The sequence below is a fragment of the Homo sapiens genome, chromosome 2 (assembly GCF_000001405.40).
Source record: "Homo sapiens chromosome 2, GRCh38.p14 Primary Assembly".
Taxonomy (NCBI): domain Eukaryota; kingdom Metazoa; phylum Chordata; class Mammalia; order Primates; family Hominidae; genus Homo; species Homo sapiens.
Window position 1 is genome coordinate 241164317 of NC_000002.12, and position 25447 is coordinate 241189763.

Sequence of the window (25447 nt, forward strand, 5' to 3'; positions counted from 1 at the left end):
GTTTGGCTCAATGGTAAAAGCAATTCCTTCCATTGCACAGAGAATATCAACCCTGTTAGACTTCTGCATTTGGGAGTTGGTAAGCACTTGGGTGTGCCTAGGCTCCTGTTTACCTTTTGTGTTGGAAGCAAATTAGCAGAATTGGACCCTTGAAGCGAGATGGAACAGAGTGCTCTGGGGACGAGGCCCGGTATGGTTAGTTGATCCCTGATCCCTTCGACTGATACTGAGGGGCATGTGGAAACCGCTCTTAACCCTTGGTGAAGCAGAAGTTTGTCAGGCTTCTTTAAGAAAGTTCTTGGCCTGGTACAGTGGCTCATGCCTGTAACCTCAGCACTTCGGGAGATCTAGGCGGTCAGATCGCTTGAGCCCAGGAGTTCAAGACCAGCCTGGGCAACATAGTGAGAGCCCATCTCTAAAAAAATTAAAAATATAAAAAAAAGCTCTTAGGCCAGGCGTGGTGGCTCACGCCTGTAATCCCAGCCCTTTGGGAGGCCAAGGCAGGCGGTTCATTTGAGGTCAGGAGTTTGAGACCAGCCTGGCCAACATGGTGAAATCTCATCTCTACTGAAAATACAAAAATTAGCCAGGCATGGTGGCGGGCGCCTGTAATCCCAGCTACTCAAGAGGATGAGGCAGGAGAAATGCTTGAATCCAGGAGGAGGACATTGCAGTGAGCCAAGGTTGTGCCACTGCACTCCAGCCTGGGTGACAGAGCGAGAGTCCATCTCAAAAAAAAGAAAGAAAGAAATTATAATTAATTTACTTTAAAATATTCAGTAATTTTTACACTTTAAAATTATTAAATCAGGTAAACCTTCACCAAATGTATCTTTTAACAATGAGTTCTTTTTTTTGGTTTTTTTTTGAGATGGAATTTCGCTCTTATTGCCCAGGCTGGAGCACAGGGGTGCAATCTCGGCTCACTGCAACCTCAGCTTCTGGGTTCAAGCGATTCTCCTGCCTCAGTCTCCCAAGGAGCTGAGATTACAGGTGTGCACCACCACGCCCGGCTAATTTTTTGTATTTTTAGTGGAGACAGGTTTCACCATGTTGGCCAGGCTGGTCTCAAACTCCTGACCTCAGGTGATCCTCCTGCCTTGGCCTCCCAAAGTGCTGGGATTATAGGTGAGAGCCACTGCACCTGGCCTAACAATGAATTCTTTATATAAAAAACATGTAATTCCCATGCATGAATTTTAGCTCAGTACAGCAGGCTCAAAATTTTGATCCTCTTTTTCTCTCTACATGAGTCCCATTCTAGCATGTTTTTTGTTTGTTTGTTTGTTCGTTTTGAGACGGAGTCTCGCTCTGTCACCCAGGCTGGAGTGCAATGGTGCAATCTCGGCTCACTGCAAGCTCCACCTCCCAGGTTTACGCCATTCTCCTGCCTCAGCCTCCCAAGTAGCTGGGACTACAGGCACCCGCCACCACGCCCGGCTAATTTTTTTTGTATTTTTTTCGTAGAGACGGGGTTTCACCGTGTTAGCCAGGATGGTCTCGATCTCATAACCTCATGATCCTCTCGCCTCGGCCTCCCAAAGTGCTGGGATTACAGGCGTGAGCCACCGTGCCCAGCCCTTTATATATATATATTTTTTTTTGAGATGGAGTCTCGCTCTGTTGCCCAGGCTGGAGTGCAGTGGCATGATCTTGGCTCACTGCAATCTCCGCCTCCCGGGTTCACGCCGTTCTCCTGCCTCAGCCTCCCGAGTAGCTGGGACTACAGGCGCCCATCATCACACCTGGCTAATTTTTTGTATTTTTAGTAGAGATGGAGTTTCACCACGTTAGCCAGGATGGTCTCGATCTCCTGACCTCGTGATCTGCCCCACTCGGCCTCCCAAAGTGCTGGGATTACAGGCATGAGCCACCGCGCCCGGCCCCATTCTAGCATGTTTTAAGTGAAATTCTCTGTTCTTAGAATTCTTCAAGATAACACAAAACCTCGTTTCCTAAAAACCGTTTCATTTCATACCTTCTGTACTGTTCTGACAGCTGTGTGCTCTCCCTCTTGCAGAGCAACCGGCTGACCAAGATCGAGGGTCTGCAGAACCTGGTGAACCTGCGGGAGCTGTACCTTAGCCACAATGGCATCGAGGTCATCGAGGGCCTGGAGAACAATGTAAGACACCCACTGTCTGTCTGGGGCTGTGTGGGCGGTGGGCACCAGGCGGGCAGGCACCTGGCCAGCCAGCACACACTGGCCTCTCGGGCCGGTGTCAGGAAGATGCCCTGCCTCTGGAGGTTTATCAGAAAGACCTTCCCATCCTAAAAACTAAGGGACCCTTTCCTCATACTGAAAAGTGCAGGAGCTGTGTGTGCCTGTTGGCCCTCTGCCCTGAGTGTGCCTTGAAGGGCTGACGCTTTATGTGGGATTTCAGCACAGGCTTCCCTAGGCTTCCTCAATGGGGCAGCATCCATTGCACACCCACTGTGCACTGCAGGCATTTTGCAAGATTTGAAAAAAACAAACCCAACCTGCTCGTAAAGGGCCCTGTATGAGGGTGACTGGCATCCCTTTAGGCCACTGACCTGTCCATGGGTCCACTGGCCTCAGCCCCTACTTCCCAGCCCACAGAGAGCACAGGACCAGCTCTCAGTCCCAGCCCCTTCCTCTTCTTACAGTATGAGCAGCTTCCTCCTCCCCCATTCCTCCCTGCCTGCTTTCCACACCTGTCCTCACCTGTTCATGCTCCTCCCTCCCTCCCCGGCCCTTCTCACTCAGGTGCAGGACAGCCTCACGTACTGAGGGGAAGTGTGCTCACAGAGCCCCCACCCTCCTCAGCTGCCTCCAGCTCACCCTGCTCTGCCCCAGTGCGGTGTTCAAGACAAATAAAAGACTTTTTCTCATTCAATTTTACTTGTTTTTTTCTGTTTTGTTAAATTGCCAGCAAATACAACCAGATTGGTCTATAAACATAGTGTTTCAATCTCATTAAAGGCCTTTGTGCCTCAACCCCAGGGCCTAGTTGGCAGCAGTAAATTTCACCAACACCTGCATAAAATTTTGGAAAAATTCAAATTTGCCTGTGGAAAGTTTGGTCACCTTCCTTTGACTTTGCATTGAAATTAAAAGTTTATAAAACTAGCATGCAAACCAAGTGTTCACCTGTGTAGTTTAGAGTGGTAAGTCGAGACGTGCCTGCAGTGGAATGGCGCTGAGGACTGTGTGGCAGGGGCTGGGGTTGGGGCCGGGTGGGGTGCGCAGCAGGGAGCCCTGGTGCCCTCCTGCACCCTGGCCTCCCTGAGCCAAGGCCCTGCAGTCACCACCAAGCATCCACCGGGAGACAGACAATCTGCAGCACAGTTCACATAAGCAGCCAGTCCCAGGAAAACTGGAAAGAAGTGTGGTTCAGAATTTTACCAGTAGAAGTGCTACACTGTGATCTTGGTTAAACACCAGATTATTCTTGGGCCTCTGAAACAAAACAGAAAAAAAAAAATTGTTGTATTAAAGGTAATTACGTTATTGTAATCTTCATCATGATCAAATGTGACAGTCTTTCTTCTGCCATTTTTTTCAACTAAAGATCAGACAAATATTTTCTCCTAAGTTTTGTTTCTTAATTTATCTGGAATTTATTTTTATGGTGGGAAATAAGAAAGTAAATGTAGTTTTGTCCCAGGTGGGAACTTAGACGACACCCCCCATCCCAGTGTCTCACGACTCCTGTCTTGTTCTTCGTGTCTTCTCCAGCTCTGGGCTCTCCCGTTGGTCTAGAATATGTTTGCAGTGGTCCCTGACAGGTGTAGTTTCTGTGGCGTTGTGTCATGCCCTTTGGTGTGCCTGCTCTCCTCACCCTGTTCCATTCTTTTTTTCTGTTTCTTAAGCAGTTCTTACTAGTTTGCTTTTGGATGAGTTTTCACAACATTGTCCAGCTCCTGTAGAAAAACGTGAAATAGTGTTGAGTGCCTACATGGATCCCTGAGCTCAGAGGTGATGGACCGGTTCTGACAGCCAGAGCCCACCACCGGCTCTGCCCCTCGTGCTGAGCCTTGGTGCTTGGACCTCACGAGGCTCAAATCCTGCGTGTGTTCCAGGCCACTTTCATTTTGCCAGTTTCTGGGCTTGCATACCAGATGACCATGAGCATCTCAGAATGGTGCAGAGTGCGGGGGAGAGCTGCCGTCCGTGCTAGAGAGGCCTGTTCCAGCCCCACCGCCAGGCGGTGTGTCGTTGGATTACCCACAGTCGCGTCTTCTGCAACATTTTCCTGCAGTCCTTTTTGCTCTGAACCCGCCCCACTGAGCTCCCTCGCACACTGTTGAGCCTGATACTCTGTGAGCAGACCTGACCAGGGCACCGAGATGGGGTGGTTTGAAGGCACCTCCTAGGCAGCATGCCACGTATAGCCTGCTGGAGAGTGGCGTCAGACTTGACACACGCAGCTGGTGCCAGCTGGGGTGCTGGGCGCCAAGGCAGCAAGGGTGGTACAGCCAGAGGAGCTCCCAGGCCACAGCCATAGCGCTTTCGAATTGGGAAAGCTACTGGCTGGGTACATTTCAGGGGAGATGGGGGGAGGAGTATTTGCTTTTGAGAAATTTTTTAACTTTCCCTTAAAACTTAGAAGGCTTTGGAATTGGAATACCAAAAATGCAGTAGAAAACCAAGGAAGGGACTCAGGAGGGAGCAGAGCGTGAGGGCAGAGAAGGGAATGAACTTTGTCAGAGGTTCTCAGACAGCTTGTAAATGTTTTCCTTTTGATGAGAAACAAAATTATTACTCAGGCTTAGCTAACATGTATTGGAAAGTGAGTAACTGATGTGCATTTTCAGAGTAGAAGATCCTAAAAACACACTCTTGTCTCCCAGTGGGGGCACACACCCTGCAGCAGGTGCTCAGCAGGCCCAGCACCCAGTCCTCAGCATGGGTCCCTTCTCTGCACTTATGCTCCCGGGACCCTTTTCCCAGACAAGAGTGTAGGCCTGGGGTCTGAGAGTCCTGCCTCTCCCACTGCTACTGTGCGCCTGGGCAGATTCTTAGCCCCACTGAGCCCCAAGTTCCTCATCCCTAAATGAAGAGAGGAACTTTGTTTTGAAGATTACTTGGTCGTACATTTCCTCGTGATGAGCACTAAGTAAATGTTTCTACAATTGTCAGCCTTTCTTCAGAGCGTCAGGGGGTTACTCGGTTCTTCCTGGGACCATCAGTCTCACTAGGTCTGTCTCAATGGACAGGGATCTGGGAGGACTGGGCTTGGAGTCTGACACAGTCTCAAATTCCAGCGATCAGGAGAGCTCAGGGAGATAGCTGGGCAGGCTCTGATGGAAACACTGTCCCAGGGAGGGCTGCAGGAAGCAAGCAGGTCTCGTCACCCTCCATAGCATGCCCTTACCCTGTGAGGGCAGAGAGGGCAGTGCACCTGCAGCCCTAAGGTCAGCACTTGACACTGCCTGCGTGGTCATGCAAATCACTGTTGATCAGAGGTAATCCAGGAAACATTTTATTTCCTTCTTTTAGAACAAACTCACGATGTTGGACATTGCATCAAATAGAATCAAAAAGATTGAAAATATCAGCCATCTAACAGAGCTGCAAGAGTTCTGGGTAAGTTTAATACACGCTGGGGTTGATGACACTTTGACTAAACTGGTCTCACTGATTAAAATGTCTTATGAATGAATACAAGAATCTCCTGTAAGCCTTCATGCTGAGTGACTCCGCACATCATGAGATTTGGGGTGGGCGCTCTTGTAGACTTGTATTGGGTGTTGTCTGTGCTCCTCAGCGTGAGCCACAGATCAGCAGCATTGACATAGCTTGTTAGAAATGCAAAATCTTGGGCCCCACCATAGCCCAGATGAAAACTGAGTCAAAATCTTTGCTTTACAAGACTCCGGGTGATTGCAGTACACACAAAGGTTGGAGAAGCCCTGATCTAGGTATGGGTAGAACCTACAATTGTCATTTGACCAAATGGTTTGCAAACCTCAGCAGAGAGGCAGACGCATTCCCTACAGATATATTCCAGCACAACAGAAGGAAATGTTGGATGGGTTTCTGCAGTTAGTCATCTTGGAATTTGCCTTGTATTTGTCTTGTCACAGGTATGGTTTCAGGAGTAGTGTTGTGGAGTCAGCAGGAAGAGAAACAGAATATAAGAAGTTTTTGCAGTTCCTCTAAAGGGGTTGGGAAATGATCCCCGAGTGGAAGTCTTCAGTGCTAGGATTCCCTTAGAGAAATCTCCTAAGGTTTATTGCCTTTCCGCTAGCACGTGGCCCTGCAGAGACTGCGGCACAGGTGTCACCCTGTGATGCTGGGAATGTAGTAGTGTCCTCAGATACATTCAGTCTAATCCAGGATTCATGCTGAGTGTAAGGCATCATTCTTCCTTGTCTCTCCTCTAGCCGTGCTGCTGACCCTGCTTATGTCCTGTGCTTTCTCCTTTCCCCACTTTAAAAGGTCATCCAAGTTTCCCTAGAACACAGGTGGCCTGCTGCAAATGTTCCTTGCCCCTTATTAGTGGCACTGGGTCTTGAGTAGTGTCATGATGGGATACCAGAGCATGTCTGGGAAGATCAGAGCCAGAATTTGGCAGGTGATAAAGATGTACCAGGCCAGGGGGAGCCTCAATGAGTCCAGGTGGGTCTATGTGCAGCCCACCCTTGAAGGAAGGTGTGGCTGGTGGTAGGCTGGTTGAATTAGTGCATAGGGAGTTGGCAAAGAAGCCAGGGAACAACACAAAGAAACCAAACAACAGGAATAAGGAGTCCAGAGACAGAGGACCAGGTGATAGGGAAAGGGCACCTGGCAAAAAATTAGGGAGCAGGTTTGGGAAACGAGCTGATACTGAAGCAATGTTCCTGAAGCGTAACGATTCCTTCTGCATGCCCTGCCTAGGAACAGAGCATGGGGCACAGAGTGCTGAGACCACAGGCAGGGGCCAACCTGGGTACCACAGCTAGCAGGGAGGCAGGCAGGCTGGTGATCAATCACTAGGGGCCAGGTAGTGCCTGACCCTGTAACACAGAAGAATCCTGTTCCTTAGGCCACCAAAGATAGTAAAAAATAGCCAGAATTTGCACAGCGCTTTATGGTGTCCATACCTCTCTCCATTCTGATCCAATTATCACAGCAACCATGTGGATAAGGTCATATTACCCCATTTTACAGGTAAAGAATTGCATTCCAGGAAGGAAAGCTGCAAACCAGGAATTCTCAAACTCAGTTCCATGCTCATATCACATTTGAGAGGCACATCATTCATCTCTAAGGCAGAAATAGAAAACCAGTCTTAACAAGTTTCTGATAACCCACATACTATGTTTGTTGATTTTTCTGCCTATTTGTTCCAATTACTGAGAGGAGAATGTTGAAACCTTCCAACTATAATTGTCAATGGATCCATTTCTCCTTTCAGTTCCATCAGTTTTTGTTTCTTGTATTTTGAAAGTCTGTTATCAGGTGCATACATATTTAGAATTGAGGAATTCTTGATGAATTGATCCATTTATCATATGAAATGTTCTTCTTTCTTGCTTATCCTCTTTATCCTTGTCCTGGAAGGGTATCTTGTCTGTTATTAACACAGCCCCTTCATCTGTCTTATGATTAGCGCTCTCATGGAATCTTTCTCCATCCATTTCCTCTTAACCCATGCCTTTATAATTAAAATGTGTTTTTCATAAAAAGTATGTAACTAGATCTTGCTTTCTTCTCCAGTCTGAGAATCTCTGCCTTTTAAGTGGTGTCTTTAGACTGCTTACATTTAATATAATTACATTTAATTACATTTTGTGTAATGGTTGAGTTTAAGTCTATCATCTTAGTATTTGTTTTTTATTTGTCTCATCTATTCTTTGTTTACTCTTTCCTACCTACTTTTTGGAGTGACTTTTTTTTTTTTGCAGTCTATTTTAACTCTATTATTGGCTTATTTGCTATACCTCTGTATTAGTGTTTTCTTGTTGATTGTTTGGAGGGAGGGTTGTTTTAGCGATTAGAATTTAAAAATACATTTTTAATTTTCACCATCTATATATTTTACATTTAAATATCTTACGATCCCCATGATACCTTATCTTTTAAAGAAATTTAAAAATGGCCAGGCGCAGTGGCTCATGCCTGTAATCCTAGCACTTTGGGAGGCCAAGGCAGGTGGATCACCTGAGATCAGGAGTTTGAGACCAGCCTGGCCAACGTGGTGAAACCCTGTCTCTACTAAAAATGCAAAACTTAGCTGGGCATGGTGGCACATGCTGTAGTCCAAGCTACTCAGGAGGCTAAGGCACGACAATCACTTGAACCTGGCAAGTGGAGATTGCAGTGGGCCAAGATCGTGCCACTGCACTCCAGCCTGGGCAAAAAAGTGAAACTCCGTCTCAAAAAAAAAAAAAAAGAAATTTAAAAACAAGAAAACTCACTTATTTTACCTTTTCTGGCATTGTTTATTCTTTCGTGTGGATCTGAGTTTCCACTTGGTATTTCCCTTCCACCTGAAGAATTCTATTGTTTTGTCGTGCATTCTGCAGTAAACCAATCCTTCACTTTGATTTGTTTGAAAAATCTATTTAATTTGCCTGCATTTTTGGAATTTAATATTATGGATACACAATTCTAGCTTGAGAGATTTTTTTTTCCTTTTTAAGTACATTAAATACTTTGTTCTTTCATCCTCTGGTTTGCATTATTTCTCCTTTATAAAATTTTTATTATTTTAAAAATATTTTTTAAAAATAAATAGAGATGGGGCCAGACACGGTGGCTCACACCTGTAATCCCAAGGTGGATCACTTCAGGTCAGGAGTTTGAGACCAACCTGACCAACATGGCGAAACCCCGTCTCAACTAAAAATTCAAAAATTAGCTGGGCGTGGTGGCACGTGCCTGTAGTCCCAGCTACTGGGGAGGCTGAGACAGGAGAATCGCTTGAATCCAGGAGGCAGAGGTTGCAGTGAGCCAAGATCATGCCACTGTAGTCCAACTTGGGCAACAGAGCAAGACTTTCTCAAAAAAAAAAAAAAAAAAAAAAAAGGACGGGATCTTGCCATGTTGCCCAGACTGGTCTCGAACTCCTGAGCTCAGACAGTCCTCCTGCCTCAGCCTCCCAAAGGGCTGGGAGTACAGGTGTGAGCCACCACACACGGCCCTGGTTTGCATTATTTCTAATAAGAAGCCAGCAGTCATTTTTATCTTTTTTCCTCTGGCTGCTTTTTAATGTTCTTTTTAATCATTGTTTCTTATTTTGTTTTGTTTTTTGCAACTTGAATATAGCGTGCCATGGTGTAGTTTATTTTCTGTGATGTGTCAGGGTTAACTGGGTCTGTGAATCTATGGTCTTCATCAAATGTGGAAAGCTTCTGGAGACTATTTTCTCTAAAACTGCTTCTGCCCTTGCTCCTCACCCCGGTTTCTCTCTGAAAACCCAGTTATGCATGTTCCCCTGGCACTAGCGAGGCCCCTGAGGCCATTGCCTCCACCCTGCTCCACCCCTTGGGCTTTCATCTTGCTGTGCTTGTTTGTATAATTTCTGTTGTTAAATCTTCAAGATCATGATCTTATCATCTGTAGTAGCCTATCTGCTGTTAAGCCCATGTCATGAATTTTTTATTTCAGATACTGTATTTTTCTCAACTCTAAAAGAACATTTGGCTTTATTTTTTTTTTTTTGGTAGATTATTTTTCTCTCTTCATTAGATTCATGTTTTCCTTTAAGTCCTTCCTTCTTCACGTCTTGTAATTTTTTATTAGATCCTGGGCTTTATGGTGTTCAATTGTTGAATGTCTGGAATTTATGTTGTTTTCCTTCAAAACATACTGAACTTTATCTGACAGGCAATTAAGTTACAGCTTGATCCTTTTGAGGCTTGTTTTTAAGCTTTATTAGAGTACATCTAAATAGTCTACTCCGTAAGATTAATCTAGCACTGTTTTGAAGCTGTGGCCCTCCTAGGATCTCTGGTGAATATCCTGTGTATTTAAGTTCTCTCCACTGTGGTTGACGGGAACACAAACATGGACCTGCTATGGGTGAGCTCTGGGCATTCTGCATCTTGGGGCTGCTTAGTAGTTCTTCGACCAGCCTTTAGCTTTTCACTCTGCCTAGCACAGCTTCATCTTCAGTCCAGGATTCCACAGGATACCATGTGGATTTCTGGAGGCTTTTTCCCTACATAGCTCACTCCTATCTATACATTCCAGCTCCCTTTGCCTCCCCAAACTACAATCACCATCTCAACTCTGTGTGGCCACCAGGCTCTGCTTGGGTTCCGCCTCCTTGTGGTCCTGAAAGTTCCTCCAGGCAGAAGGCCGGGATGATCACACCACCCACCTCATTTGTTTCCTGTCTCTCAAGAATCACTATCTGTGTTGCCTGTTGTCTGATGTATAAAAACAATTATTTCATATATTTTATCCTCTTTTTTTTTTTTTTGAGATAGAGTCTTGCTCTGTCGCCCAGGCTGGAGTGCAGTGGCGCGATCTCAGCTCACTGCAAGCTCCGCCTCCTGGGTTCACACCATTCTCCTGCCTCAGTCTCCTGAGTAGCTGGGACTACCGGTGCCCGCCACCACGCCTGGCTAATTTTTTTTGTATTTTAGTAGAGACAGGGTTTCACTGTGTTAGCCAGGACAGTCTCCATCTCCTGACCTCATGATCCGCCCGCCTTGGCCTCCCCAGGTGCTGGGATTACAGGTGTGAGCCACCGCGCCCGGCCTATTCTATCCTATTTTCTAGTAGCTTGTGACAAAGGCAGGAGCTCAGCACCAGCTATTCTGTCATGGCTTGAAACAGAAGTCCTACTTATTTATCTTACTTTTGTGTCTGTCTCCCCCACTGTATAATACAAACCTCATAAGGGCAGGGAAATTAGTGTTTGGTTTACTTTGTTTTCCCTCCCAATTTCTTTATTGTGGTAAAACATGCATAAAATAAAACTCACCATCTTAACCATGTGGAAGTGTACAGTGAGTGGTATTCAGCACATTCGTAATGGTGCACAGCCATCACCACCGTCCATCTCCAGGACTCTTTTCAACTTATAAAACTGGAACTCTGTACCCATTAAACAATAACTCCCTATTTTCCCCTTCCCAGACCTTGACAATGACCCTTCTACTTTCTGTCTCTATGAATTTAACTACAGACCTCATATCACTGGAATCATGCAGTATTTATTTTTGTGACTGGCTTACTTCACTCAGCATATTGACCTGAAGATTCACCCATTCTGTAAGCATGTGTCAGAATTGCCTTTCTTTTTAGGGCCAAATAATATTCCGCAGTATGGATATTGTTTTGTTCACTCTTATCTCACCAGCATCTGGAATAGTGCCTGATACACTTTTTTCTTTTGAGACAGAGTCTTGTTCTGTCACCCAGGCTAGAGTGCAGTAGCATGATCATGGCTCACTGAAGCCTTGGCCTCCTGAGTTCAAGTGATCCTCCCACCTCAGCCTCCCAAGTAGCTGGGACTGCAGGTGTGCACCAATGACCTGGCTACATTTGTGGGTTTTTTGTTTTGTTTCGTTTTTTGTTTTTTTGAGATGGAGTTTTGCTCTTGTCACCCAGGCTGGAGTGCAATGGCACAATCTCACTGCAGCCTCCGCTTTCCAGGTTCAAACGATTCTCCTGCCTCAGCCTCTCAGTAGCTGGGATTACAGGTGAATGCCACCACGCCTGGCTAATTTTTGCATTTTTAGCAGAGACGGGGTTTCACCATGTTGGCCAGGATGGTCTCAAACTCCTGACCTCAGGTAATCCGCCCACCTCGGCTTCCCAAAGTGCTGGGATTACAGGAGTGAGCCACTATGTCTGGACCATTTTAAAATCTTTTGTAGAGACAAGGTCTCACTGTGGTGTCCAGGCTGGTCTCAAACTCCTGAACTCAAGCAATCCTCCTGCCTGGGCCTCCCAAAGTGCTGGGATTACAGGTGTGAGCCACCATGCCCAGTCAGTGCCTGAAACATATTTGAATGAGCAGAAGGAACATAGAAAAGGCTGGCCAACTGGGTGGAGGCCAGCTACAGATAACATTGGAAAATATGTTATCCACATGTGTCAGATGCAGGGCTAACATCCTTACATTAAAAACAGCTCACACCCAGGTACCACTTGAAAACTAGGGTGTTCACAGAGCAAGAAGTAACAGTTGCTTGTAAATACATAAAGCATTTCCTATCTCATTAATTTTTTTTTCTTTCTTTTTTTTTTTTTTGAGATGGAGCTTTGCTCCTGTCGTCCAGGCTAGAGTGTAGTGGCACGATCTCGGCTCACTGCAACCTCCACCTCCCGGGTTCAAGTGATTCTCCTGCCTCAGCCTCCCAAGTAGTTGGGATTACAGGTGGCTGCCACCACCATGCCTGGCTAATTTTTGTATTTTTAGTAGAGACGGGGTTTTGCCATGTTGGCCAGGCTGGTCTTGAACTCCTGGCCTCCAGTGATCTGCCTGCCTCGGCTTCCCAAAGTGTTGGGATTACAGGCGTGAGCCACTGTGCCTGGCCATATCTCATTAACTTTTAAAATCTACTAAAACAGTGAGATACAGTGTTATCTGTCAGGTTGGTGAAGACTCATAGAATGCAGCTGCAACCAGCCTGTGATGGCAGCAGGCACTCTCGTGACTACGGAGATAGCTGTGTTTCATACAAGTTTTCTGTAGGGCATTTAGAGCCTTAAAAATACCACATGCAGCTGGGCACGGTGGCTCACACCTGTCATCCCAGCACTTTGGGAGGCTGAGACGGGTGGGTCACCTAAGGTCAGGAGTTTGAGACTAGTCTAACCAATATGGTGAAACCCCATCTCTACTAAAAATACAAAAATGAGCCAGGCGTGGCGGCATGCACCTATAGTCTCAGCTACTGGAGAGGCTGAGACAGGAGAATTGCTTGAACCCAGGAGGCGGAGGTTGCAGTGAGCCAAGATCGTGCCACTGCACGATCAGGTCAGGAGATCGAGACCATCCTAGCCAACATGGTGAAACCCTGTCTCTACTAAAATACAAAAATTTAGCTGGATGTGGTGGCACGCGCCTGTAGTCACCACTACTCGGGAGGCTGAGGCAGGAGAATCGCTTGAACCTGGGAGGCAGAGGTTGCAGTGAGCCAAGATTGTGCCACTGCACTCTAGCCTGGCGACAAAGCTAGACTCCACCTTAAAAAAAAAAAAATCATAGAGAGCTTCCTAACCAAGATTTAAAAATCAGTGAAAAAAGAAAGAATAGGTATATCTAATTTTATAAAGCGTATGTATTTTGCATGATGAAAGAGTCCATTGGTCGCCTGAGAGGTTAAGGTTAAGGTTATTTTCTATGACATACAAAAAGTTCTTTAAAGTGAAAGAAAGCGATTCAATAGAAAAATAGGTGGAGGATAGCAATACACAGTTCACCAATATGATGCATCCCGCCCCTGCCATACGCGACTTGTTTCAAGCTGACATCCAGGGCCTGGAGGGTGGGCTGAGACCAGCACTGCCCTGCTCAGGCCCCCACCCTCTTCCCAGTAATCCAGGGGAAAGGTAGCATCACAGTGACCAAAGGCAGTAGCCAGGGGAGGAGAAACATTTGGCAGGAAAGTTTCCACCCTCATGGTGTCTGATGCCGGCATGGAGCCCATCTGCCCACTGCCCTGCTGGCACAGGGGCTTCCCCAGGACCCTCCCAGATGCTCTGTTGGCAGATGCTGCCCGCTCGTTTAAGCCAAGTGATGCCATTTAAATTACATTGCAGGCCTGCTCCATGCCACAGCTGTGCTTCCTCAGCCCTCTTGATGGAATGCTTTCCTGTAGGCAGCGCCCTGCACAAGCAGCCTGTGCCAGCTTGGCACCCCTGACCCAGGGCTGTCTGGGTGTGAGCTGCAAGGAGCGGGGGGCACAGGTAGGGGCTGCTCGAGGAGAGGCTGTGTGCCTCCCTCCCAGCATGTGTGCCTGGCCTGGGCCCACTTTCTGCTCCCCTTCAGTCTAGTGATGGCCATTTCATTAGGTTTCAGTTGCATTCCTTTAATTACAGATGAGTCTAACCCTGGCGCCTCTGTTTTCAACCACTTTGTCCTTTTGTTCCCTCTTGATACTTTCTGCTAGCTTTAGTCCAGTGCATTTTCCCTTTTATTATTAACTTATAGAGATTCTATCAATGAATGATACTAAACCTTAGTATGTCATCTGTGTTGCAGATACTTTACTTTGTCACTGGTCTTCAGCTTTTTTTTTTTTTTTTGAGACAGAGTCTGGCTCTGTCACCCAGGCTGGAGTGCAGTGGCGTGATCTCGGCTCACTGCAAGCTCCACCTCCTGGGTTCACACCATTCTCCTGCCTCAACCTCCCGAGTAGCTAGGACTACAGGTGCCCGCCACCACGCTCCGCTAATTTTTTTTTTTTTTTTTTAGACGGAGTCTGGCTCTGTCCCCCAGGCTGGAGTGCAGTGGCGCAATCTCCGCTCACTGTAACCTCCGCCTCCCGGGTTCAAGGGATTCTCTTGCCTCAGCCTCCCGAGTAGCTCACCATCCCCACGGACAGCTCTCGATGTGGCCGTGCCTGTGTCTGGCAGCCTCACCATCCCCACGGACGGCTCTTGATGGGCCGTGCCTGTGTCACGCATCTCCTTTGTTAAACTGTCATGGAGATTTTCAGAAAATAAGTGATTTTTACATTCTACCAGTTGTTTATGAAATGTATCTTAAGAATTCTACCCATCTTTTGCTTAAAACATTACTGAGTTTGGGGTAATTAATGTGAATTTTCTATAATATCAGCCAAAAAAATTGTGAAGGGAAATACAGGTATCCTATGTATGTATATGCAAAATACACAGATAGAAAACCCCATAAATACAAAATGCAAGTTTGGGTTCCAAAAACCAAAAGAGTCTGCCAGGAAAACGTCAGCCAAGAAGATGTTCTCTAGCAGAATCCCAGCCGTTGGTTCGGGCAAGGGATCAGCTGCTGAGATTACTGGGAAGGATGTTGAAGAAGGGATGTTTGCACACAGGCCCAAGGATCATGCCACAGAGAACTCGCTAATTGCAAAGGGAAAGCATGTTCCCAGAGTCATCTGGGGTCACCAGCTGATCTGCATGATAAAACTTAGCATCCCTAATTGTGGGACCACCTGAAGTGCTGTGTCCCCAGTGTGAGTCATCTGTGCAGTATACCTACCAAAAATGTTTAGTCTGATCTAACCAAGCATTCATACCTAACTTTGAGTTTATGGGAAGTGTAAGAGCTAGAAGAACAAGCTAAATGACAGTGAGGGATACTTTACAAGACAGTTCTTCAAGAAGCCAATTTTAGTTTTTAAAAAACAGTGTGAGAAGGACATGGGAGGTGCTCAAGATTAGAAGAGACTGAAGTGGTCCCTCTGGGGGAAAGGAATGTGCCCGCGCTCCCCAGCCAGGCTCCCTGACAGCCCCAGTGTGCAGAACTTGATAAGAGAAACATAAGGTCATCTTTTTTCCATGATGAGTGTAACATCTTTGCCCCATCCTGGGATTCAGGAGCCTCTGGAATGTCTATGGAGACAGAGTCTCATACAAGTGAATGTTTTTAGTTCCATTTTGGAAAAATGCAAAGATAAGAATCTCTGAAAGTTACCAGTATCAAACACATTATTTACACATTATTTACAATGCACCATTGGTGGTGAGTAGAATTCCCCGTGTTAGGTTTACTAAGTCCTGGAGAAAACTGCTCTGAGATTGGCAGTGCTATGGAAAATTACAACATCTGCAATTTATAAAGATGGTCCGCCCATCTAGACTAATAATGACATTGGAAAATGCTGTGATGTGTGAGACAAGAAGCATCTGGTGTGTGACAAACACAAATACATCACATATCGAGAAAGAAGGAGGTGACACAGCTTGAAGACCTCCCACGCCAGAGCTGAAAGCCTGAGTCAACTGCCAGTGGTGTTTTGAATCATTTTTTAAATAGACTATGCTACAAGAAAATCTTACTTCTTCCAAACAGTGTGATATTGCTACTTTCATTAAATGAATGTCCTTTTTGTGTGTTTTGTGGTAGAAGTGGTTAAGGCAGTGGTGTTCAGTCTTTGGGCTTCCCTGGGCCACACTGGAAAAAAGAAGAATTGTCTTGGGCTACACATAAAATACTCTAACGATCGCTGGTGAGCTAAAAAAAAAAAAAAAAAAAAAAGTGAAAAAATCGCAAAAAAATCTCAAAATGTTTTTAAGCTTACAGATTTGCGTTGGGCCTCATTCAAAGCCATCCTAGGCCATTTACAGCCTGCAGGCCGTGGGTTGGACAAGCTTGGTTTAAGGCGTGTGTGTGCATCATTTTCGTGACTCTCCACTTTAAGGGGCTCTTTCTGTTAACTGACCAGTGACCGGCCAATCACAGGCCTGGCAGGTGGATGGCTTCCCCTGTAATTCTAGTGTTGCAGGCTCTGCACTGGCCACACAACCAGCGGGGCGGTGCGAGTGTAGTAACAGAGTAGCATTTAAGAAGGTACGCTCACGTCCCGTCCACATGGAGGCACTGGTCGGGACAGCAGCAGCAGGGCACCAGCCCTGGTGGTGCAGCTCCTCCCAGCAGGTGTCAGTCCCTCTTCAAGGGCTAAGCTCTAGGATTTGGAATTCTTGGTTTCCCAAGGCTGGTACGCACTAGTCCCACAAAAGGTTCTGTGAAAATAGGGTCCCTCAGGCCAGGCGCAGTGGCTCACGCCTGTAATCCCAGCACTTTGGGAGGCTGAGGCGGGTGGATCACTTGAGGTCAGGAGTTCAAGACCAGGCTGGCCAACGTGGTGAAACCCCATCTCTACAAAAATACAAAAATTAGCCGAGCATGATGGCGAGTGCCTGTAATCCCAGCTACTTGGGAGGCTGAGGTGGGAGAATCGCTTGAACCCAGGAGGCGGAAGTTGCAGTGAGCAGAGATTGCCCCATTGCACTCCAGCCTGGGCGACAGAGCGAGACTCCCTCTCAAAAAAAAGAAAATAGGGTTCCTCAAACAGGCAAACCTGTGAGATGCACGTTATATTCCTCTCTGGGAAGCCCCTGACACACGGTAAGTTACTAAAGACAGCCTGGCTGTGACAGTGGACCTGGTGCAAAACTAGCCCTCCTGCCACAGACAGATAGAAAAATATGAAACAACTCTATTCAGGCAGTGGACAGCAGGCAGCACGCACCTGCAGGCTCTGAGGAGGGAGTTCCAGCGCGAGCCCCGTGATCACCCCACTCCTTACCTGGGATGTTTCCCAAGCAGAACACAGTACTTCTGAGTGGAAGAGGCAGAGATCAACATCTCTGGCAGCTAGAGTGTGCCAGACAGGGCCCCAGAGAGAAGGGGAGCTGTGCAGAGCAGAGGTCCAGAAGTCCATGCAGGGACCCCCCAGTCGGACCACAGCTGTGGGCAGGGCAGTGGGCAGTGTGGGCCCCAGAGTAGAACGCCCCTGCTTGCCTTCCGTTCCACATGGACAGTTCCCTTCCTAACTTCCCTGTAAAAGGAGTCGAAGTCTGTCACCCTATAACGAGTGCCCCTGCCTGTGCCCATTGTAGGTTCACAGTCAAGTCCAGCTGCCTCTTCAGGAGCAGTGCCCGTGCTCTTGCCACCGCGGTTTGCCTGGCAGGCCCTGAGGCCGGGCAGCTCTGAACATGTGATTTCTACACACAGGGTGTTTGAAAGGGAGGGTCAGACCAACAGGGTTTGAAGCTGGACTGGCTCCCCTTGTTCTGGAGATGGCACCACTGCACTCCAGCCTGGGCGACAGAGCGAGACTCTGTCTCAAAAAAAAAAAAAATGCAAGAGAACTCTTCCTGCCAAAGGCAGGTCCCTCCAACTGGGCATGGCAGGGCCAAGATGGTAAAATGTAGCCTGCAACTCAGACCTCTGAATCCCACCTGCTCACGATTTGTGTCCCTGCACTTGGTATTGGGTGAAAGCAGCAGCTGGGACTTCCTTGTGGAGAGAGCCATAGAGGTAATTTACAGAAGAGTTGAGAGTTTTAAGTAGAGCGGCCTCTGTCTGCTGTGTCACAGTGATGGCGCAGAGTGCAGCCTTGGGAATGATGGCTGAGAACTGGTTTGTAGAAAGTGCAGCCCACCCTGCTTTGACACTTGCCTATGGACAAGTGTAGCAGGCAGGTGGCCAGAACTGCTTTGTCCTTCCTCTGCTGACCTGAATGTGGACTTGGCCCCGTCATAGTGACTGGCCCAGGGTTGGCTATGGACAGGTAACTTGTACTTGGGATGCAGCTGAAGGTGGCCAGGATGCACCAAGAGGCCATGGAAGGTCCCATGAGGTGCCAGGGAAGACCCACACCTGCTCGCCATCTTCTGAGTGGGAAGGAGGAGGGTGGCTAGTGGACCCCACCAGAGTCGAGGGCTGGGCTGTTTGGTTCTAAAGGCTTTTCTGCTGTGTGTGTCCCCAGATGAACGACAATCTCCTTGAGAGCTGGAGCGACCTCGACGAGCTGAAGGGAGCCAGGAGCCTGGAGACAGTGTACCTGGAGCGGAACCCCTTGCAGAAGGACCCCCAGTACCGGCGGAAGGTCATGCTCGCCCTCCCCTCCGTGCGGCAGATCGATGCCACGTTCGTCAGGTTCTGAGTCCTTCTTGGCTCCTCATGTGGTCCCTCTCCTCGGAAGAACTGCCCAGCCACGGGTTTTTAACCCACCTGTTGCTCCTGAGGTCGTCACTATATCAACAGTCACAAACCCAATGGCAATAAAGGCACTGACGATAGCTGGCGCGCGCGACGTCACACACCATTTTCAGATGCCGTTGCAATTAAATCTTGCCACACTGTCCTCCTGGGTGATTGTTGACAGTTATTGTAGCCACAGAGAGAACATAAGACACGTTGCGTTCATTCGCTAGAAATCCCTGTTTCCTTCTCTCAGAAGGCAGTCACAGTCCCTACCTGAGTCGTGTGAAACACAGGGCCTGAGAGTGCTTTACAGGCATTCACGTGCTGTCCGAGTGGCATTCGGGGGCTGGCCTAGCTGGCCCTAGTCCTGGTGTGCAGGGTTCAGGCAGTCTTGACCTGCAACAACCGAGGTTTTTTAGTCTTTTAACCCAGCCATTTTCAATTTTTTAAAAATTAGGTAAGTTAAAAAAGCTGGGTAAAAGCTGACTCAGCCCTGTGTGCTTGTGTTCCTTAGAGCTCTCCTTCAAAGAGCGCCGGGCAGGGCTGACTGTTTTCACGTGTGCCCGTCAGTTCTCGCCACATCCCTTGCCTGTGGGTGAAAGCTCAGGTGTGGGGAGGGTGTCCTGTGTCCCACACGGTGCTGTGCTGCTGCCAGAATACGAGTCCCATTGAGCCTCTCCAAAGACGGCCTCCAAGGATCTGAACTCTTGGCCACTGGTATAGTGGCCTCCTGTTCTCACCCCATTGTTATTTTGGCTTTTTTAATATAAAATGTACATTGACAGACACCCGAAGTCTGGATTTAATGCTACCAGGGCATCGTCACCTCCCAGGGTCTCAGATTTCTCCTCCTGCAGAATGAGGGCCACATCATGTGGTCACCAAGGTCCCTTCTGCCTCCGGGACTCTAGACTCTAGAACCGTCTACTTGAGGAACCAGGACTCTAGAACCGTACTGTCCAATGTGGGCGAGGCTGCAGTGAGCCATGATTGTACCCACTCCAGCCTGGGTGACAGAGGGAGACCCTGTCTCAAGTTTTAAAAGGCTCCAAATTAATACCCAGCCATCTGTTCTTTAACAGACATTTTTACAAACATACAAAAAATGTGGAAGTGATGAGGAAAGGTATGCTAAATCCAGCACAATCCTAATCAAAATGCCATTTGATTTTTTTTTTTTTTAAGGAGTCATTCTCTGTCACCCAGGCTGGAGTGCAATGGCGCAATCTCAGCTCACTGCAGCCACCACCTCCCAGGTTCAAGCGATTCTCCTGCCTCACCCTCCCTAGTAGCTGGGATTACAGGCACCCGCCACCACACCCAGCTGATTTTTGTATTTTTAGTAGAGATGGGGTTTTGCCATGTTGCCGGGCTGGTCCCAAACTCCTGACCTCAGGTGATTCGCCCACCTCAGCCTCCCAAAATGCCGGAATTACAGGGGTGAGCCACCGCACCCAGCCACCATTTGATTTTTTGAGACACATTAAATTCTAAAATTTAATTTTTTTTCCTTTTTTTTCTGAGACAGAGTCTCGCTCTGTCGCTAGGCTGGAGTGCAGTGGCGCGATCTGTGCTCACTGCAAACTCCGCGTCCCGGGCTCAAGCGATTCTCCCGCCTCAGCCTCCTGAGTAGGTAGGACTACAGGCACATGCCACCACACCCAGCTAATTTTTATATTTTTAGAAGAGACGGGGTTTCACCATGTTGGCCAGGATGGTCTTGATCTCTTGACCTCATGATCCACCTGCCTCTGCCTCCCAAAGTGCTGGGATTACAGGAGTGAGCCACCGTGCCCGGCTTTTTCTTTTTCCTTTTTTGGCGAACAGGGTCTTGCTATATTGCCCAGGCAAGTCTCAAACTCCTAGGCTCAAGCTGTCCTCCCACCTCTGCCTTCCTAAAAGCTGGGATTATAGGCATGAGCTACCGTGCCCGACAAATTCTAAAATGTATATGGAAGAAAAAAGTCAACATTGTGATTCAATTCATTTTGAAAAAGAGCTGGGAGAGACGCTTTCCTACCAGATCCTGAGTGCTGCAAACCCACAGTGAGAGTGTGGGGGGAGGCCTGACCTAACAGCACCAAGACAGGGACACCTCAGCAGGAACCCAGGGGACTCGGGGACTGGGAAAAGTGTCCGGGGGTCGGGGAGGGGTGGACAGTGTCCTCATGATGTTGGCAGAGTGCACTATGTGGAAAAATGAACACTGCCCCTCCCTGGCATCACACACAGGATAGGCTCCAGAGCAATTGGTGATTCATGGGCGGTGGTGAAATAGGAAATCAGTAGAAAATAATGTGGGAGACTGGGCATGGTGGCTCGTGCCTGTAATCGTAGCACTTTCGGAGGTCAAGGCGAGTGGATTGCTTGACCTCAGGAGTTCAAAACCAGCCTGGGTAACACGGTGAAAACCCATCTCTACTTTAAAAAAACACAAAACTTAGCCGGGCGTGGTGGCAGCCACCTGTAGTCCCAGCTACTCGGGAGGCTAAGGTGGCAGAATCGCTTGAACCCGGGAGGCAGAGGTTGCAGTGAACTGAGATCTCGCCACTAGCACTCCAGCCTGGGCGACAGAGTGAGACCCTGTCTCACACCCCCAAAAAAGAAAAAAGAATGTGGGAAGGCGGATATGTGAGCTAGCAGTAGAGAAAACTCCCCAAGGCCGGGTGCGGTGGCTCATGCCTGTAATCCCAGCACTTTGGGAGGCCGAGGTGGGCAGATCACAAGGTCAGGAGTTCGAGACCAGCCTGGCCAACATAGTGAAACCCCGTCTCTACTAAAAATACAAAAAATTAGCCGGGCATGGTGGCAGGCACCTGTAATCCCAGCTACTCGAGGAGGCTGAAGCAAGAGAATTGCTTGAACCCAGGAGGTGGAGGTTGCAGTGAGCTGAGATTGCGCCATTGCACCCCAGCCTGGCCAACAGAGCAAGACTCTATCTCGAAAAAAAAACTCCACAAACACAACTGTAAGACAAGATTTTGATGGGTTTATTTACATAAAATTTTACATAGAACAAAAATAATGAATAATACCTGAATAATGGCAACAGTAGATTAAGAGAAGGCGTTTGCAGCTTTTAAAACTGGCAAGGCTTACCATTTAGAACTCCCACACATCAAATAAAGGAGACAGGAATCCTGACGGAAACGCAGGCCAAGGGCCAGAGTGGGCAACTCAGACACCAGGGGCCAGTGGCCTGTGTGGAGCCGCCGCTCACAGGAAGCTGGGCTGCTGGCTGCACCTGCAGACAGGAAGGTTAGAAAGCGGGCAGTGCAGGCATCCAAGAGTCTGTCCCCTGCGACCCAGCCACCGTCCGTCCAGCAGGGCTCCCATGTGGCTGGGGCGCAGTGCCAGGGTCCTCATGGAGGGAGCCCTGCACGCGCCTCCAGCCTCAGAAGGAGCCTCAGAAAGAGGCTGAACTTCAGTGTGGGCTCTTCACCACCACTTCCACCTCCACTAACTACACCCTAAGTATGTCCATAAATGTTACAGCCAGCCGGGCACGGTGGCTCACGCCTGGAATCCCAGCACTTTGGGAGGCCGAGGCGGGCGGATCACGAGGTCAGGAGATCAAGACCATCCTGGCTAACAAGGTGAAACCCCGTCTCTACTAAAAATATAAAAAATTAGCCGGGCGTGGTGGCGGGCGCCTGTAGTCCCAGCTACTCCGGAGGCTGAGCCAGGAGAATGGCATGAACCCGGGAGGCAGAGCTTGCAGTGAGCCGAGATGGCGCCATTGCACTCCAGCCTGGGCGACAGAGCGAGACTCCGTCTCAAAAAAAAAAATGTTACAGCCAAAGAAAGATGGTGCAGCAGATTCTGGGCCTGGGCTCTTCCCAAGGCCTGGAACCTGGCGGGCCCCCTGTGCTGGTTGCGGCTTTTCTCCCTCCCTCCCTTCCTTCCTTTCCCTCAGAAGTAACACAACTTGAAAAAACCACCCACCCAAACAGAGTTGTATGAAGTAAAAATGGAAAGACACTCCTCAGGGCCGAACCCCCTTTAGGTGTTGTGCGTGCACTGTCGCTGAAAGGGCTCCCACTGGGGTGTGGTCACCTCCAGCAGCCGGCCCTGAAGCTCTTGAGTAGACAGCCCTGAGGCCACCAGAGCCACTTTGTCACCAAGAGCAGAGAGCCAGGAGCTCCTGGGAGGTGGCATGTCTTCCTGGGAGGGTCCTTGGCCAATGACTGAGCAGAGTAAGAGCCTACAGTTGCATCCAGGTGAGGAAACGCTTCGTCTTGCCTCCCCTGCAGAGTGCCCATGGCAGGCTGAGGCCACCCTCCACAGGTCTTGGGGAGATGGTGCCCCGCTCATCCTCCCTCCCCTCCTGCCTCCCGACTCCTTTCCTGGTTTCTGGAGCACTTCCCCAGTCCAGCCCTCGTCCAGGGATCCACCTCAGGCGCCTGCAGGCTGAGCTTGGCCAAGCAGAGACCTCTCATGCAGATGCCCTGAGGCCCAGGGCCCCAAGGTCCTGCCGCCCAGGCTCTGCTGGTGCTGACAGGGAACCCGGCCTGCAGGGCCTTCCCGCTGTTCCGAGGCACAACACAGGTCCAAGAACAGGGCCCCTTGGGAGGTGCCAAGCACAGAGGGGCATAGGTATAAGGGAAAGCTGCAGCCAGGATGAGGGTCCGCCTGGAGGGATTTCAACAGGCAGAAGGGGGCACCTGGAACAGCAAGCTGAGCTTGGGGCTCCCCAGTGCAGTTGTGCATGGAGGGCGAGGAGCACGGGTGGTAGGTTCTCAGACACTGCCAGGCACCAAGGAGGAAAGGGGGAGGGGGAGGGAGAGGGGAAGAGGAGGGGCGGGGAGAAAGGATAGGAGGAGAAGGAGGAGGAGAGGGAGAAGTGGGGGGAGGGGGAGAAACAGGAGGAGGGGAGTGGGGAGAAAGGAGGAGAAGGAAGAGGAGAGGGAGAAGTGGGGGGGAGGGGGAGAAACGATAGGAGGAGGGGGAGTGGGGAGAAAGAGGAGGAGGAGGAGGAGTTGGGGGGAGAAATGATAGGAGGAGAGGGAGAGGGGAGAACGGATAGGAGGAGAAGGAGAGGGAGGAGTAGGGGGGAGAAACAATAGGAGGAGAAGGAGGAGAGGGAAGGTGGGGAGAAAGGATAGGAGGAGGGGGAGAAAGGAGGAGGGGGAGGAGGGCTAGGAGGAGAAAGAGGAGGGCTAGGAGGAGAATGAGGACGAGGAGGAGGGCGGAAAGGATGGGAGGAAGGCTAGGACCCCTCCTGTCCTTTTGCAGATGGGGCCCTGAGCATGGGATGTGCCTGAGGTCACCCCTCAGGCATTAGCAGAGCCAGCAGTGTGATCTGGGTCTCCCAATCTCCCCAGCCCCCGGGTGAAACCCTGGCCCACCACTCAGCACATGCTACGTAACCTCAAGGAGCCTCAGTTTCCCCCCACATAAACAGAGCTTACGAGGTCTGCCTGGCAAGGCTTCCAGCAGAGGTGGCACTTGTGGCTGTTCCTGTGGAATCCCACCTCCTCGAGACCCTCCAAGGCAGCAACTATGACAGCTGATGCCAGCCCTGAAATCTCTAAGCAAATAAGGTTCCCAGGAGGACGGCAGCATTTGCATGCGGGTGTGTGAAAGCCCAGCCAAGTGGGCTGCCTCTGTCTGCAGCTCTGAGCCCCACACCCCCTATTTAAACAAAGATAGATCCTGCTCCAGGAGCCGGGAAGCCTTGCCCTGGCCAGCTGTGCTGGGCACCTCCCCTGCCTGCTTCCTGGCCCACTTGCAGGCAAGGTGAGGGCATGCGAATGGCTGCCACTGCCTGGGCGGGGCTCCAAGGGCCACCCCTCCCCACCCTCTGTCCCGCAGTGAGGACGGGACTCTACTGCCGAGACCAGGCTCACGCTGAGAGGTGGGCCATGACCTCCGAGACCTCTTCCGGAAGCCACTGTGCCAGGTGGGGACCCAGCCTAGACGTGTGGGCCACAGGGAGAAGGTGGAGCGTTGGACTCTAGGGAGGCAGGGCGGCACCCCAGCCCACCGGGACTTTCACACACCCTGGCCTGTGGGGAGGCAGTGCCAGGGCCCGCCCTGGTCCCCAAAGCCCCTTGGGGCACGAGGAGGGACACACACTCAGTGCGGCTCTGGACGGGGTACACCCAGCTGGGGTTGGCTTCCTGCCTGCCCAGGGGCTCCCCCATGGAGCAGGTCCCTTCGTTGGGGTGGGGGGCATCCCCATTCTTTCTGCAGAGAGCTCTGAGGAGGGGCCCGCCTGCCCACCACAGAAGGATGGGGGCATGAGGGGCTGCTGGGTGGCCGAAACTCCTCGGGGACTTTCCTCCAGGAACACCCCACAGTCCGTAGTGAGGCTCCCAGCCTGGGGCCGGGGCCGAGTCCTAACACTGAGACCTGGCTCGGGCTTCAGGGTTAGGCAGGTGCAGGCGGCCCAGGCTCAGTCTCTGTCCCTCTGGGCCTCCGCTAATGTGAAGTGAAGGGTAGAACTAGAAGGCTGCCCCTCCGACCTCCTGCGGCGCCTCCATGGTCACACCCTCCGGTCATCGTCGCAGCTCCAAATGCCAGCCCCAGCTCGAACCCTCTCCTTCCAGGGCCACAGATGTCGTGCTCCTGGCCCCGTTTTGCCAGCCCAAGACTAGGAGCCACGGCACCTGTCCTCCCACAGAGAGAGACCCCCGGGGCGAAGGTGCGGGAGGAAGCTGGGACCCCCAAGAGTTGTGAGGCCGGGCTCCATCAGGCCCGCCTTGCTGGGGAGCTCAGGGCCTATGGGTCCTGGCACTGGGTCCTCAGGCCATGAGCGAAGGCAGGCGACTTGAGGGGTTTCCTGTCCCTGGCTCACATGGCTCCACCCTACGGATAAGAGAGGGAGAGGTGTCTGTACTCCAGGCCCACCTTTCTGGGCCTTCTCAGGCTCCACTGAGTACCCAGGCAGAGTGGAC

General features: G+C 49.9%; 2 protein-coding genes and 1 long non-coding RNA gene across 40 annotated transcripts in view, besides 4 other annotated features; 2 read left to right on the forward strand and 1 right to left on the reverse strand.

Moving 5' to 3' along the window:
• The window catches only part of PPP1R7 (protein phosphatase 1 regulatory subunit 7), a 34080-nt gene extending 14744 nt beyond the window's left edge, over window positions 1-19336 (forward strand). For 4 of the 9 annotated variants that reach the window (XM_047444851.1, NM_001282414.1, NM_001282410.1 and 1 more), the window contains 2 exons: window positions 2021-2125; window positions 2729-2858. In XM_047444851.1, coding sequence (XP_047300807.1) covers window positions 2021-2125; window positions 2729-2752 — 129 coding nt within the window. In that variant the 3' untranslated portion in view covers window positions 2753-2858. Of the gene's footprint in view, window positions 1-2020; window positions 2126-2728; window positions 2859-5464; window positions 5552-18330 lie in introns of those variants that run through there. The other 5 variants (NM_001282412.1, NM_001282413.1, NM_001282409.1 and 2 more) reach the window with 2 other exon arrangements.
• Window positions 2426-2925: an enhancer, noted in NCBI's record as "H3K27ac hESC enhancer chr2:242106157-242106656 (GRCh37/hg19 assembly coordinates)". NCBI's record gives its function as "activates a minimal SCP1, AML or CMV promoter by ChIP-STARR-seq in primed H9 embryonic stem cells {active_cell/tissue: H9 hESC(primed)}" and the evidence as "EXISTENCE:reporter gene assay evidence [ECO:0000049][PMID:30033119]".
• LOC105373971 (uncharacterized) lies at window positions 3360-24106 on the reverse strand. The gene is made up of 3 exons (XR_924064.3): window positions 23960-24106; window positions 21648-21792; window positions 3360-3421 (listed from the first exon to the last, which is right to left on the reverse strand). It is a non-coding gene; the product is annotated as an uncharacterized LOC105373971 (long non-coding RNA).
• Window positions 21913-22435: an enhancer, noted in NCBI's record as "H3K4me1 hESC enhancer chr2:242125644-242126166 (GRCh37/hg19 assembly coordinates)". NCBI's record gives its function as "activates a minimal SCP1, AML or CMV promoter by ChIP-STARR-seq in naive H9 embryonic stem cells {active_cell/tissue: H9 hESC(naive)}" and the evidence as "EXISTENCE:reporter gene assay evidence [ECO:0000049][PMID:30033119]".
• Window positions 23631-24315: an enhancer, noted in NCBI's record as "H3K27ac-H3K4me1 hESC enhancer chr2:242127362-242128046 (GRCh37/hg19 assembly coordinates)". NCBI's record gives its function as "activates a minimal SCP1, AML or CMV promoter by ChIP-STARR-seq in naive and primed H9 embryonic stem cells {active_cell/tissue: H9 hESC(naive and primed)}" and the evidence as "EXISTENCE:reporter gene assay evidence [ECO:0000049][PMID:30033119]".
• Window positions 24316-24999: an enhancer, noted in NCBI's record as "H3K27ac-H3K4me1 hESC enhancer chr2:242128047-242128730 (GRCh37/hg19 assembly coordinates)". NCBI's record gives its function as "activates a minimal SCP1, AML or CMV promoter by ChIP-STARR-seq in primed H9 embryonic stem cells {active_cell/tissue: H9 hESC(primed)}" and the evidence as "EXISTENCE:reporter gene assay evidence [ECO:0000049][PMID:30033119]".
• Window positions 24361-25447, forward strand: part of ANO7 (anoctamin 7) — a 51632-nt gene continuing 50545 nt past the window's right edge. For all 30 annotated transcript variants that reach the window (XR_007076377.1, XR_007076376.1, XM_011511267.3 and 27 more), the window contains exon 1: window positions 24361-24450. Coding sequence is in view for 26 of the 30 variants with exons in the window: in XM_011511267.3 (XP_011509569.2) it covers window positions 24413-24450 (38 nt within the window). In the remaining 4 variants the exon portion in view is untranslated. The remainder of the gene's footprint in view (window positions 24451-25447) is intronic.